This window comes from Homo sapiens, chromosome X (assembly GCF_000001405.40).
Source record: "Homo sapiens chromosome X, GRCh38.p14 Primary Assembly".
NCBI classification, from domain to species: Eukaryota; Metazoa; Chordata; class Mammalia; order Primates; family Hominidae; genus Homo; species Homo sapiens.
Genome location: NC_000023.11, coordinates 107,871,995 through 107,887,418, shown reverse-complemented (window position 1 = coordinate 107,887,418; position 15,424 = coordinate 107,871,995). Strand labels below are relative to the sequence as shown.

Genomic DNA, 15,424 nt, shown 5'->3' with positions numbered 1-15,424 from the left:
CCAGCATATAAACAGAATCAAAGACAAAAACCAGATGATTATCTCAATAGATGCAGAAAAGACCTTTGACAAAATTCAACAACCCTTCATGCTAAAAACTCTCAAGAAATTAGGCATTGATTGGACGTATCTCAAAATAATAAGAGCTATTTATGAAAAACCCACAGCCAATATCATACTGAATGGGCAAAAACTGGAAGCATTCCCTTTGAAAACTGGCACAAGACAGGGATGCCCTCTCTCACCACTCCTATTCAACACAGTGTTGGAAGTTCTGGCCAGGGCAATTAGGCAGGAGAAGGAAATAAAGGGTATTCAATTAGGAAAAGAGGAAGTCAAATTGTCCCTGTTTGCAGATGACATGATTGTATATTTAGAAAACCCCATCATCTCAGCCCAAAATCTCCTTAGGCTGATAAGCAACTTCAGCAAAGTCTCAGGATACAAAATCAATGTGCAAAAATCACAAGCATTCTTATACACCAATAACAGACAAACAGAAAGTCAAATCATGAGTGAACTCCCATTCACAATTGCTTCAAAGAGAATAAAATACCTAGGAATCCAACTTACAAGGGATGTCAAGGACCTCTTCAAGGAGAACTACAAAACACTGCTCAATGAAATAAAAGAGGATACAAACAAATGGAAGAACATTCCATGCTCATGGGTAGGAAGAATCAATATCGTGAAAATGGCCATACTGCCCAAGGTAATTTATAGATTCAATGCCATCCCCATCAAGCTACCAATGACCTTCTTCACAGAATTGGAAAAAACTACTTGAAAGTTCATATGAAACCAAAAATGAGCCTGCACTGCCAAGACAATCCTAAGCCAAAAGAATAAAGCTGGAAGCATCACGCTACCTGACGTCAAACTATACTACAAGGCTACAGTAACCAAAACAGCATGGTACTGGTACCAAAACAGAGATATAGATCAATGGAACAGAACAGAGGCCTCAGAAATAATGCCGCATATCTACAACTGTCTGATCTTTGACAAACCTGACAAAAACAAGCAATGGGGAAAGGATTCCCTATTTAATAAATGGTGCTGGGAAAACTGGCTAGCCATAGGTAGAAAGCTGAAACTGGATCCCTTCCTTACACCTTATACAAAAATTAATTCAAGATGGATTAAAGACTTAAATGTTAGACCTAAAAGCATAAAACTCCTAGAAGAAAACCTAGGCAATACCATTCAGGACATAGGCATGGGCAAGGACTTCATGTCTAAAACACCAAAAGCAATGGCAACAAAAGCCAAAATTGACAAATGGGATCTAATTAAACTAAAGAGCTTCTGCACAGCAAAAGAAACTACCATCAGAGTGAACAGGCCACCTACAGAATGGGAGAAAATTTTTCCAATCTACTCATCTAACAAAGGGCTAATATCCAGAATCTACAATGAACTCAAACAAATTTACAAGAAAAAAACAAATAACCCCATCAAAAAGTGGGCAAAGGATATGAACAGACACTTCTCAAAAGAAGACATTTATGCAGCCAAAAGACACATGAAAAAATGCTCATCATCACTGGCCATCAGAGAAATGCAAATCAAAACCACAATGAGACACCATCTCACACCAGTTAGAATGGCAATCATTAAAAAGTCAGTAAACAACAGGTGCCGGAGAGGATGTGGAGAAATAGGAACACTTTTACACTGTTGGTGGGACTGTAAACTCTTTCAACCATTGTGGAAGTCAGTGTTGCGATTCCTCAGGGATCTAGAACTAGAAATACCATTTGTCCCAGCCATCCCATTACTGGGTATATACCCAAAGGATTACAAAACATGCTGCTATAAAGACACGAGCACACGTATGTTTATTGTGGCACTATTCACAATAGCAAAGACTTGGAACTAACCCAAATGTCCAACAATAATAGACTGGATCAAAAAAATGTGGCACATATACACCACGGAATACTATGTAGCCATAAAAAATGATGAGTTCATGTCCTTTTTAGGGACATGGATGAAGCTGGAAACCATCATTCTCAGCAAACTATCGCAAAGACAAAAAACCAAACACCGCATGTTCTCACTCATAGGTGGGAACTGAACAGTGAGAACACATGGACACAGGAAGGGAAACATCACACACCGGGGCCTGTTGTGGGGTGGGGGGAGGGGAGAGGGATAGCATTAGGAGATATACCTAATGTAAATGACGAGTTAATGGGTGCAGCACACCAACACAGCACATGTATACATATGTAACAAACCTGCACGTTGTGCACATGTACCCTAAAACTTAAAAGTATAATAAAATAAATAAATAAATAAATAAATAAATAAGAGATTCTCCTGGAAAAAAAACAAAAACAAAAACGGGAAGGGATCTCAACCTGCTGGGAAATTCCAAAAATCTGGCCATCTTAATACATTGTTACTGCTAGTAAAAGAAATAATTAGTTATGGTTGTATAGTTATTACAGCTGTGTAGTTGTTATGGCTTGGCCTAGAAAGTGCTTTCAGATATATTTGATCTCTATATTTGATCTTCACAACAACCTGATTAGATAGGGTAGACACTACTGTCTGCATTTTATGGATGAGGAAACTGAGATCTAGAGAGGTAAAGTAAATTATCAAAGTCATATAAGCTAGCAAATGACAGAGTTACAACCAAACTGGGCATCCTAACTCCAAGGCCAAGACTTCTGCCATGTTCCATTCTAATCTGCCCTGTTTTTGTTTTGTTTTGTTTTGTTTTTGGTCTCTTTGTAGCTAAAATTTATTTTTATTTTTATTTTTGAGGAAAACCACCTTTCCCTTTTTTTGAGGATTTTCCTGTGCTAAGTTTCCATTTCTACTCAGGCAGCAGAGTAGAGTGGGAAAAAGTCTGGATTGTAAGCCAGGCTGGCCTGAATCTGCATTCCTGCTTTGACGCTTGAAAGCCAAGTGACTTCATGACAAGTCACTTAACATCTCTGAGCTATCTTTCTGACTGGTAAAATAGAAACAATGTTACCTACCTCACAAGTGGTTATGAGAATCAAATGAGATAACAGAGACAAAGGTCTTAGCACACTACCTGGAACATAGTAGGAATTAAATAAATATTGATTTCCATGCCTACTCCTCTCCAACTCCAAGTTGCTACGCTGGTCTGGTACCTCTTTCCCAAAAAGTACTTCTTTCCCAAAAAGCTGAAATTCAGGTTTTGATTTATGTCTCTACTTACTCATCTATAGGATAGCTGGCATTTCAACTCTTGAGAGTTTATCATTTACAACTGATAAACTCCAGGATATTTTCTTGGTTATTTGCGGTAGATTTGGAACTTATAACTTGTGTATATGTATGTAGATAAAAATGTTTCTAAATAATTTAAAGACTTAAGTTTTTACTCAGAAATGACTTCCATTCTGTAAAATGTGGATAGATCATTCTTCTTAATCTAATCTAGAACCTAAAAGGCTAAGTCGTCCTTATTTGGATAGTGAGCTAACTTATTCAGCTACTTTGGTCTGAATATATTGTAGCAATTCAGGTCTATGATCTCTTACTGAGTTCAGATCTCACATCCTCAGCACCAGATTCCAAATATATTTTCTAATAAAGAATGCATCTCCTTAGCAGCCACTTTCCCATAGACTATGTTCAAACAATAATATGGCTTAGCTCTTACACCTGGATCTTTCCCTATCATCACATTCTCCTCACTGAGGAGCTTCAAACAATGTAATGAAAAGGAAGATAAATTGGGCATGGGAGAAAACTAGGCTAGTCCTGAGAATGGGGATATAGGACTTTGATAAAAATGGATTTGGTATAAAAATAAGCTATGCCATAGATTGTGTGAAAAGAGGGCAAGGAAAACTTAAAAATGATAGCTTTATGCATTTTGGCTTTTTAAAAAACTGGTTGCAGTGAAAATATGTTACTATTGCAATTTTAAACATTTTTATTGTGAAACTGAGCATATTTAAAACTAGAGAATATGATGAAGCCCCGTGTGTCCATCCCCCAGCTTCAAAAGCCACCAACATTTTTCTATACTTGTTTGATCTATTCCCTCCTTTTTCTGCTGAGGCATTTTTTTAAATTATACTTTAAGTTCTGGGGTACATGTGCAGAACATGCAGTTTTGTTACATAGGTATACACGTGCCATGGTGGTTTGCTGTACCCATCAACCCGTCACCTACATTAGGCATTTCTCCTCATGCTAACCCTTCCCTAGCCCCCCACTCCCCGACAGGCCCCAGTGTGTAATGTTCCCCTCCCTGTTTCCATGTGTTCTCATTGTTCAATTCCCACTTATGAGTGAGAACATGCAGTGTTTGGTTTTCTGTTCTTGTGATAGCTTGCTGAGAATGATGGTTTCCAGCTTCATCCATGTCCCTGCAAACGACAGGAACTCATACTTTTTTATGGCTGCATAGTATTCCACGGTGTATATGTGCCACGTTTTCTTTATCCAGTCTATCATTGATGGACATTTGGGTTGGTTCTAAGTCTTTATTATTGTGAATAGTGCCACAGTAAACATATGTGTGCATGCGTCTTTATAGTAGAATGATTTATAATACTTTGGGATTGCTGGGTAATGGGATTGCTAGGACAAATTGTATTTCTAGTTCCAGATCCTTGAAGAATTGCCACGCTGTCTTCCACAATGGTTGAACTAGTTTACAGTCCCACCAACAGTGTAAAAGTGTTCCTATTTCTCCACAACCTCTCCAGCACCTGTTGGTTCCTGACTTTTTAATGATCGCCATTCTAACTGGTGTGAGATGGTATCTCATTGTGGTTTTGATTTGCATTTCTCTGATGGCCAGTGATGATGAGCATTTTTTCATGTGTCTTTTGGCTGCATAAATGTCTTCTTTTGAGAAGTGTCTGTTCATATCCTTTGCCCACTTTTTGATGGGGTTGTTTGTTTTTTTTCTTGTAAATTTGAGTTCACTGTAGATTCTGGATACTAGCCCTTTGTCAGATGAGTAGATTGCAAAAATTTTCTCACATTCTGTAGGTTGCCTGTTCACCCTGATGGTAATTTCTTTTGCTGTGCAGAAGCTCTTTAGTTTAATTAGATCCCATTTGTCAATTTTGGCTTTTGTTGCCATTGCTTTTGGTGTTTTAGACATGAAGTCCTTGCCCATGCCTATGTCCTGAATGGTATTGCCTAGGTTTTCTTCTAGGGTTTTTATGATTTTAGGTCTGACATTTAAGTCTTTAATCCATCTTGAATTAATTTTTGTATAAGGTGTAAGGAAGGGATCCAGTTTCAGCTTTCTACATATGGCTAGCCAGTTTCCCAGCACCATTTGTTAAATAGGGAATCCTTTCCCCATTTCTTGTTTTTGTCAGGTTTGTCAAAGATCAGATGATTGTAGATGTGTGGTGTTATTTCTGAGGCCTCTGTTCTGTTCCATTGGTCTGTATATCTGCTTTGGTACCAGTACCATGCTGCTTTGGTTACTGTCTGCTGAGGCATTTTAAAGCAAATCCAAAACGTTATGTTATTTCACCCCTAATGCTTCAGTTTGTATCTCAGAAACAAAAGTATATCTTTTTGCATAATCACAGTGAATAAAATAATTCCTTAATATCATTCATCTAATGCTTGTTCTATACTTAAATTGTCCTGATTACATAAAAAAGTGTACTTTTACAGTTGATTTGTTTGAATCAGGTATTTTATGAAGAGGAATTTAATACTGGTTTTTCAAATACCATGTATATTTCTAATGAATAATTAATGAGTGCTGTTTCCTAGTGAAGAAATAGAAGACCTCATTGGTACTATACACCCCATCCATGCTTAAAATTCTACTTTCAGGAACGTATGTCCTTTATGAAAAGGCAGATCCCTGTACAGTGGTTTCTGTTCATTCATATGTCATTGTGAATTTCAGTATCTCAGAAAACAAGTTTTGAAGGACACACCAGAGAGAAGAAAAGGTCATCACTGGGCAGAACAAAGAGAGTGAGAAATCTAGAGGATGCAGGGATGGCAGAAAGTGTGGAGGGAACTACTTAAGTCGAACATGGGGACATTTAACTGCTTAATCAAAACTGCTTCTGATTTCTGTGACCTCTTTCTGTATTGAAGCAACCCAAACCTCAAAAGTTCAACAGTCTTATTTGTAACAGGGGTACTATGCCCACTGGATGACCTTCACCAATTTTGTCAGACCTAACCCTAACCCAGTGGGAGCTCCTGCTCTCTACTACTGCCCAGCATCCAACAATCTTTCTCTGAGAGATGACCAAAAAGGCTAAGTGTAGGTGACTGAATTTAGTAGCACTCTAACAGCATGGTAAAGGAAAATCTGCCCCCTTGTACATTTCTGGTGGGAGTATAAATTGCCTTGGCAAATAGAGACTGTTGACAATATGTGTCAATACATTGAAACGTGGCTTTACTTTAAACTGTCAATTCCACTTCTAGGAAATAAATATCCTTAAAAATAGAAAGGGATAAGATAGAAAAAAGATACAATTTTGAAATCGCCTTTGCAAAACTTATAACAGTGAGAAAACGATGTCAGTGATGGAAATTGGATCTAGCCTTTGGCCTTCAAGCTGCCCTTAATTATTCCTGGGCTTAGGCCAAGCTAATTTTAGGAGACGCTTAGTTTATAGTTTAAATGATAAGAACCCTTCCCCAAAACTCGACCATCTTTGTAAAGCTAATGAGAGACCACCAGGCTCAAAGCATAGAAAAGCCTGAATTCTGCTAAGATGTAGACATAAATGATTACCTGCCATTATTCCAGAGTTCACAAAATATGCAATTTCCCCAGTTACTCCTGCAGATAACATCACTATTGTAGAACCTAAGATTGGCCTTTTGAGATACCTTTTCAGGTTTTTTTGTAGATCTGACCATGAATGGCTCCACCTGTACCTGCCAATCACTCATGTGCTCCGACCCAGAAGCGACTCAGCATGCAAGAGAACCACTTCCCAATGGCAATGACTAACCACTCCCACCCCTTCCCCCAAACTACCTTTGGAAAACCCTAAGCTAGGCACAGTGACTCATTCTAGTAATCTCAGCACTTTGGGAGGCTGAAGTGGGCAGATCGCTTGAGCCTAGGAATTCGAGACCAGCCTTGGCAACATGGTGAAATCCTGTCTCTACAAAATATTTAAAAATTAGCCAGGCATGGCAGCATGTGTCTGTAGTCCCAGCTACTCGGGAGTCTGAGGTTGCAGGGAGGTCAAGGTTGCAGTGAGTTGAGATCATGTCACTGCACTCCAGCCTGGGTGACAGAGCCAGACCCTGTCTCAAAAAAAGAAAAGAAAAAAGAAAAAGAAAGAAAAACCCTAGTCCCCAAATTCTGAGAGGCATGGCCCACCTCATGTCAATTAAATTCTCTGTATTGCCAATTCTTCTGCTTGATAAGTCAGCTCTATCTGGGCAGCAGACAAGAGGAACCCACTGGACAGTTATAGTTTTAGTGTGAAACTAACAAAACAAGTTTTAAACAAAAATAAGACTATAGAAAAAAACCATCAATACATCAATATAATAGTTACATGTAAACTTTGCATCATACAGAATAATACATTCTTCCCTTATATTCATGGAGCATTTAAAATTGATCATGAAGAAAAAGTTTATAGTTTACCATCTCTGATCACTATCCTGTAAAATAAGAATAAAATAACAAAAAGATAAATTCCCAAATCCTTAACCACTTGAAAATTAAGAAACATACTGATAGGGATAGGAGGCAGGGAAATTCTGGGCAGAAGAGAGTGGGTCCCCGGCAAGCGTCCCACCCTCAAGCCTGGAACTGTGGCCCAAAGTGAGAACATCCATTCCTGTTTTCCCTCTTGAATGCTGCCTTTTCCAAAACCACCCATGGCCCACCCTGCCCACCACCCTGTGCCCATAAAAAACCTAGGCTCCGCCAGCAGAGAGAAGAGAAGAGGAGAAGCAGCTGGACATCAGAGACTATGGTTGAATGTTGGAGAGAGTCAGCTTGACTTCAGAAGGACAGCTTGACAGCATTGCTTTGGAGAGGAGTCTGGTCGGGGATGGCTGGACTACAGGGGAAGACTATCTTCCTGCTCCGTCCCCTTTTCAGCTCCCCTTCCCGCTGAGAGCCACTTTCATTGGCAATAAAATCCCCCAAGTTTACCATCTCCAATTTGTTCATGTGACCTCATTCCTCCTGGACACTGGACAAGAACTCGGGTGTGGGTGCAAAAGGCAGTCACCGTGACCCTCCACTGAGCTGTTAACACTTAAGCCATATGTGGATGGCAAAGCTGAAAGAGCACTGATTGTAACACTCTTTCTGGGGCTTCAGGGGTCATGGCCCCACCCCCGCCAGATGCTGCTGCAGATCCACATGAAGTTTTGCTCCTGCCAGCACCCAAAAGCACTCGCCCTGGTTCCTGCACCTGCTCACCTGCACTCCCCGTCCTGTGATGGGTGGAAGGCAGTGGGACCAAGCAAGTGGAGTCCATCCCTGCCAGCACTGAAGCAGCCAGCTAGTTCTAGCACCCCTGCACTCGAGTTCCTGCCTGCAAAGGGGTCAGGGAAATTTCCTGCTCCATTTTAGGGCCTTGTCTGGGATACGTCAGAAGGGTGAGTAAATGCAAAAATGTGGATCTGTCTTTTCTTGTCCTCAGACTTTCCTCTGATCTATGCCACTTGCAGGGGGCAGGATGCAACCCTGCCATTTCTCTTTTGGGTAAAAGGCTCTGCTTCCCTTCACATGGGTCTAGCCATCATGTGGGACCAGAATAAAGTCCTGGGGCAGCTGAAGGCATCTGGCCAATGCCACTCCTCGTTGTTGCCAGAAGGCCCCTGAACTGGACCCCATCCCCAATGTAATAGGTGGTCCGCCAAGATGCTCAGATTTTTCTGTGGTATCTTTCCTTTCTTCTTCTATGGTTTGAAATGGCTCCTATTGCTTCTTTTATAATGTTAAGAGTTTTGCTGCAAACTGCAGAAATGTTATTAAGTAGAATGAACATTTGGCCCAGCAATCAGATATGCAATTCAGAACAATGTGATTTCCGTTTGTTCTTAGAGGTGCCATCCCCACCCCCACCCCAACAGCTGCAGACATGCATGGCACGCAGTGAGTTTCCTCTCCATCCCCTCCCCTCCTGGCTGGGGCACTTGGGCATGTCCAAAGCATGCATGTGCCACTTCCAACAGCCATGGAGGGCAGGAGAAAATCACAGCTGCAGCCAGGGCCCCAGGGCAGTCTTGGGGCCCAGGGACCCCACACGGGCAGCTGTCCAGCATTTCCCACTCACCGTCCCCTCCCATCACACGCCCATAGAGCCTTTACTCCTCTGGCTGAGGAGTTCAGCTCAGTCCAAAGCGGGGGAAGAATACAGTGATTAAAGGAACCCATTTGCATAGAGCAAGGGGTTCTTCCCCCTCTCTTCAGCTGTTTTTTTTTTTTCCTTTCTTTTTCTATGTGATAGGGTTCTTTTCCTACCTCGGCACTCTGGTTATGATAGGGCAGCAATGGAGGAGTGGCCCCGCTGGCTGATAACTGCAAGTTTGACAGGACCCATCATGGACTTAATCTAAATGAATCCATGCACCCACTGATGCACCTTTTTGCCCTAAACTCAATTTTAAACTTTGGGTTGAAGCCCTAGAAAGGAAAACCAGATCTGAAGAATCCCAAGTGAGGCAACAGGCACAGTATAAATGGGTAGGACAAATTCCTGCTGATTAAGCCTCTGCTTCATGGAAGGAGGCCATGCTCCACGGCATAGATAAAGCCCTGGGAACCCAAAGGTTGCCGGCAGTAAAGGGGATGAAGGCATAGGTGAGTGCAGACAATTCCTATTCTCTAGGCCCTCCTTGTTTTATGAGTGCAGGCTGCAATGGCACCTGTGGGTGGCATCCATCTAAGGTTGCCAAGTCTTGGGGATAAAATGATGGAAGAGAAAAGGAGGAGGTTCACTTTCTCTCTCCCTCATACCTCAAGTTTTCACTGAAAGAAGGAAGTGAAATGAGAGACACCTATTTCCCTGTCTTTCGGAATGGGTAACCAGCTATCTTCACCACCCCAGTCTGTACTCCTCTGGAGGGTATCCTGAATCACTGGAACTGCTTTGACCCTCATACTCTGGAGGTAAAATGCCTCATAGCACAAAGGTTTAGCCAAATTGTGATCTGCAGGAAGGACTGTCTTGGCCTCAGGAAGGAACCATTCATTTCAATACCATCGTGTAGTTGGACCTTTTCTGTAAACATGAGGACAGATGGTCTGAGGCCATACATGCAGACTTTCTTTTCCTTGCAAGTAATCCAGACCTTTGCTGATAGTGTAGGATTGGTTCAGCCCTCCGGTTTGCCATCTCAGGGAAGGCTGCAAGTGGCAATCCCAAGGAACTAAAGAAATGAACCCCAGAGACACCTCCAGCAGGACAGCCAGCTCCCTCCAGCGCTGCTCCTCTGGGTCCACCCCTTCCTCCCCATCCAGCTTCTCTCTCTCACTTGCCCCCTCCTAGAAATCTTCACCCTGGACAAGCCCCAGTCTCACTCCTGCCTCTCCAACAGATGCCTGGTGAATTTGACCCCAGTAAGGTCCAGGTGCCCTTCTCTCTACAGGACTTAAGGCAGATTAAGGGGGATCACGGCAAGTTTTCAGATGACCCTGACAGTTGTATAGAGGCTTTCCAGAATATAACCCAAGTATCTGAACTCTCCTGGAAAGACATTATGTTACTTTTGAATCAAACCCTAACACTGAGAAGCACGCCATTCTGCAGCTGACAGAGGGATTTGGGGATGAGCTTAGTATCACATATATTGTCAGGGAAGGAGTCAAACTTTATCCAATTGGAAGGGAAGCAGTACCATTGGATGACCCTAAATAGGATCCCAATATTGAGATGGGAGAGTGGAAGAGGAGACACTTTAGGTGTCCATGATGGAGGGCTTACGTAGGACCAGAACTAAGCCTCTCAGTTATACGAAGCTACCCGTGACAGACCAGGGATTTGATGAGAATCCTACTGCCTTTCTGGAGAGGCTAAGAGGGGCCTTGGTAAAGCACACCTCTCTATCTCCCAATTCAGTCAAGGGACAACTAATCCTAAAGGATAAATTTATTACTCAGGTAGCCCCTGATATTAGGAGGAAACTGCAGAAACAGACCCTGGGACCAGATAGTACTTTAGTGAATCTCCTGAAAGTGGCCACCTTGATCTTTTATAATAGAGATAGGGAGGTCCAGGAGAGAGAGAGAAAACATAGGAAAGAAGCAGAGGGTTTAATGGCCACCATGAAAGCCCACAAACCCCAGGATTCCTGAGGTGCACCTGTTAACTGCTACAGATATAGTATGCCAGGACATTTTAGAAAGGATTGCCAAGGCAGCATGAGGAAGCCACCTTGACCCTGTCCAATCTGTAGTGGGGACCACTGGAAGGCAGACTGTCCCCAGGGAGGCTGGTCACCAGGTCCAGAGCCAATCTCCCAAATGGTTCAGCAGGACTGATGGGTCCCAGGGCTCCTCTCTGTAGCTCCAGTGGTCCAGACCACCATTACCATCCAGGAGCCCCAGGTAGTTCTGAAAATCAAAGGGAGGAAAGTGGACCTCCTTTTGGACACTGGGGTTGGTCTCTCAGCTCTCCTCTCCAATCCGGGCCCCTTCTCTTCTCTTAGCACAAATGAGAGGGGTATCTCAGAAAGGCTCTTAATCCGGTATTTTTTCCAACTCTTTAGTTGTAGCTGGGGAGACTTGTTGTTCACCCATGCCTTTCTAATTATACCTGAGAGCCCAACTCCTCTGCTGAACCGGTATATTCTGGCCAGTATGGGGACCACCATTCTGGTGGCCTCTGAACAAACTATTTGTCTCCCCCTAGTGAAGACTGATATTAACACAGAAGTTTGGGCAATTCAAGGGAAAATTGGCCAATCCACAAATGCCATACCAGTCCAGGTTCACCTTAAGGATCCCACCTCATTTCCTAATCAGAAACAATATCCCCTGAAACCAGAAGTTAGGAAAGGACTAGAAGCCATCATTGATAACAAGGTTGCAGGGCCTCCTCAAACCCTGCAACAGCCCTTGTAATACTCCGATATTGGGAGTACAAAAACCCAATGGGGAATGAAGACTAGTTCAGGACCTCCACCTTGTTAATGAAGCTGTGGTTCCATTACACCCAGTGGTTTCCAATCTGTATACCCTGCTATCTCAAGTACCTGAAGGAACTAAACAGTTCACAGTCCTGGACCTAAAGGATGCCTTCTTCTGCATACCATTACACTCTGACTCCCAGTATTTGTTTGCATTTGAGGATCCCTCTAACCAAACTACCCAGTTAACCTGGACAGTGTTACCTCAGGGATTCTGAGACAGCCCTCACTTGTTTGGGCAGGCATTGTCAAGAGACTTCTCTGAGTTCCTTTATCCTCAGGTTAAAGTTTTACAATATATAGATGACATTCTCCTCTGTGCTCGAACTGAGGAAACCTCTCGGAGGGTAGTAAGGCTCTTCTCAATTTTCTGGCTAATAGAGGATATAAGGTTTCAAAATCTAAAGCTCAGCTCTGTCAGACTTCAGTGAAGTACCTTGGTCTGATCTTGTCAGAGGGGACCAGAGCACTGGGCAAAGAAAGGATTAAGTCCATCTCCTCCTTTCCCCTCCCCAAAACCCTCAAGCAACTGAGGGGATTCTTAGGTATTACAGGATTCTTCAGACTATGGATACTTGGGTATGGTGAAATAGTTTGTCCCTTATATCACCTAATAAAGGATACTCAGGCAGCTAAAACTCACTCTCTAATTTGGGAACCTGGGACTAGAAAAGCCTCTGACCAACTAAAGCAAACCTTGCTTAAGGCACCAGCCCTTAGTCTCCCCATAGGGAAGATGTTTAATCTTTATGTGTCAGAAGCAAAGCAAATGGCCCTGGGAGTGCTAACACAAGCCCTGGTCCAGCCCAGCAGCCTGTAGGCTACCTAAGTAAGGAGCTTGATTTGGTAGCCAAAAGATGGACAGCCTGCCTCCAGGCAGATGCAGCAGTAGCCTTGCTGGTACCAAAGGCTACTAAGTTAACCATGGGGAATAACTTAACTGTTTGCACTCCACATAATGTGTCAGGACTGCTGTCTTCTAAGGGGAATCTCTGGCTAACAGACAACTGCCTCCTCGTGTATCAAGTTCTGCTATTAGAGGGATCTGAAGTCCAATTAAGAACCTGTCCCTCCCTAAATCCAGCCACCTTCCTCCCAGAGGAAGCTGGGAAGCTTGAACATGACTGTGAACAGCTAGTAGTACAGACCTATGTGACCAGAGAGGATCTCAAGGAAACCCTCTTAGAGAACCCAAACTGGATTCTCTTTACAGACAGAAGTTCTTTTGTAGAACAAGGGATACATAAGGCAAGGTATGCAATAGTTACTCTGAATGATATTGTTGAGAGTGTGTCTCTCTACTCAGGGACAAGTGCTTAATTAGCCAAACTAATTGCCCTCACAAGGGCACTCAAATTAAGCAAAGGAAAAACAGTTAACATTTGCACTGATTCTAAGTATGCTTTCCTAGTCCTCTGTGCCCATGCCACTATCTGGAAAGCGAGAAACTTCCTCACAGGTAATGGGAGTCCCATTAAATACCATCAGGAAATTAATAGACTATTATCCTCGGTTTTTCTCACATGTGAAGTGGCAGTAATACATTGTAAAGGCCACCAAAAAGGTATGGATGAAGTAGCCAAGCAAAATAGATTGGCAGACCAAGCAGCTAAATCAGCAGCAACAAAGCCTCAGATTTCTGATCCACTTGAAGCCTCACTGATCTGAGAGGGCCCCTTAAGAGAAATATAATCTAAATATTCTCCTGTGGAAATAGAATGGGCAATCTCTCAGGGATACATCTTTCAGTCCCCAGGATGGCTACAATTGGAGGACAGCAAGCTTCATCTACAGGCTGCTGACCAATGGAAAGTTCTTAAAATCCTTCACCAAGCTTTCCACCTACGTAAGGATAAAACCCATCAGTTGGCCCAGAAATTGCTCTCAGGTAAAAACCTGATACAGTTAAACAGATCGTTAATGCTTGCTAGACCTGCCTTTAAAATAATCCCCTTAATCGACAGCTTCTTCCCCCAGGAATCCAAAGGACAGGAGGCTATCCAGGGGAAGACTAGCAGTGGATTTCACCCATATGCCAAAGGCAAGAGGCATCCAGTATCTCCTAGTGTGGATAGATACCTTCACTAACTAAGTAGAAGCAATTCCTTGTCAGACGGAGAAAGTCTCTGAGGTGATAAAAGTACTAATTAATGAGATAATTCCTTGCTTTGGACTCCCTAAGTACCTCCAGAGTGATAATGGCCCCTGTTCAAGGCAGCCGTCACCCAGGGGGTCTCAAAGGCACTAGGCATACAGTACCATCTTCATTGTGCTTGGAGACCACAATCCTCAGGAAAGGTAGAAAAGATGAATATTATCAAAATGCACCTCAGGAAGCTGTCTTAGGAGACTCGTCGCCCCTGAACTACCCTTCTCCCCATAGCCCTACTACATGTTAGAAACACCCCTCCAAAGCTGGGTTTGAGTTCCTTTGAAATGATGTATGGATGGCCTTTTCTCACGAATGATTTCTTGCTAGACCAAAAATCCTCTGATTTGATTAAACATATAACTTCTTTGGCCCATTTCCAACAGGAACTGAAACAACTGTTGGAGGTCCAATCCCAGGAACTAGGGCCACCTCTATTCAACCCAGTGGACCTAATACTGGTAAAGGTACTTGCTTCCCTTTCTCCCTCTATAAGCCCAGATTGGGAGGGATTATACTTCTTTCTACTCTTATGGCACTGAAAGTCACTGGAATAGATCATTGTATTCACTATACCCGAGTAAAGGCCTGGGAAGCTGACAGAGTTACCTGCATCAACCCAGAAGAGCACCCAAAGTACCTATGTGAAGAGATTGGGGAACTCAAGCTAAAAATCACAAAAGATAAGTGTTAATAATTAACCTTCCATGGATATCCTCTTTATAGTCTTGCCTAGGCTTGTTGTTTTTACCTCCATTCTGTGCTATACCATGGGGTATAATGTTGATTTCAGAATGATTAGTATATTTCACTTCTTATTTCTGTAATCTTCAGCATTAGATTCTCTCCTTTTAACTCCTCTTTGGACATATATTTGGTCCATGCATACTTAACCCTGTAAAACTTGTTTCTTTGCACCTAGAGGCCATCAAACTCCAAACAGTCAGGCAACCAGAACCTCAGACAATGGCTCCCTTTTGCTGGGGACCCTTAGGTAGACCTTGGGGAGGAATCTGACTGCTGTTCTTCCCATACTCACACCCCCTGTAAACAGGAAGTAGCTAAGACCAGTCATCGTCCATATTACACCAGCAGTTAGATGAGCCTCTTCAGAGGAGGGAAATGACAGGGGCAGGAGGCAGGGAAATTCTGGGCAGAAGAGGATAG

The 15,424-nt window shown here is 42.8% G+C and overlaps 1 protein-coding gene across 4 annotated transcripts in view, besides 2 other annotated features; it reads right to left on the bottom strand.

Annotated features, from left to right (window-relative positions):
- Positions 1-15,424, bottom strand: part of MID2 (midline 2) — a 105,903-nt gene that overhangs the window by 44,219 nt on the left and 46,260 nt on the right. The gene's annotated exons all lie outside the window — the stretch shown is intronic.
- Positions 8,704-9,212: an enhancer, noted in NCBI's record as "H3K4me1 hESC enhancer chrX:107121437-107121945 (GRCh37/hg19 assembly coordinates)". NCBI's record gives its function as "activates a minimal SCP1, AML or CMV promoter by ChIP-STARR-seq in naive H9 embryonic stem cells {active_cell/tissue: H9 hESC(naive)}" and the evidence as "EXISTENCE:reporter gene assay evidence [ECO:0000049][PMID:30033119]".
- Positions 9,213-9,721: an enhancer, noted in NCBI's record as "H3K4me1 hESC enhancer chrX:107120928-107121436 (GRCh37/hg19 assembly coordinates)". NCBI's record gives its function as "activates a minimal SCP1, AML or CMV promoter by ChIP-STARR-seq in naive H9 embryonic stem cells {active_cell/tissue: H9 hESC(naive)}" and the evidence as "EXISTENCE:reporter gene assay evidence [ECO:0000049][PMID:30033119]".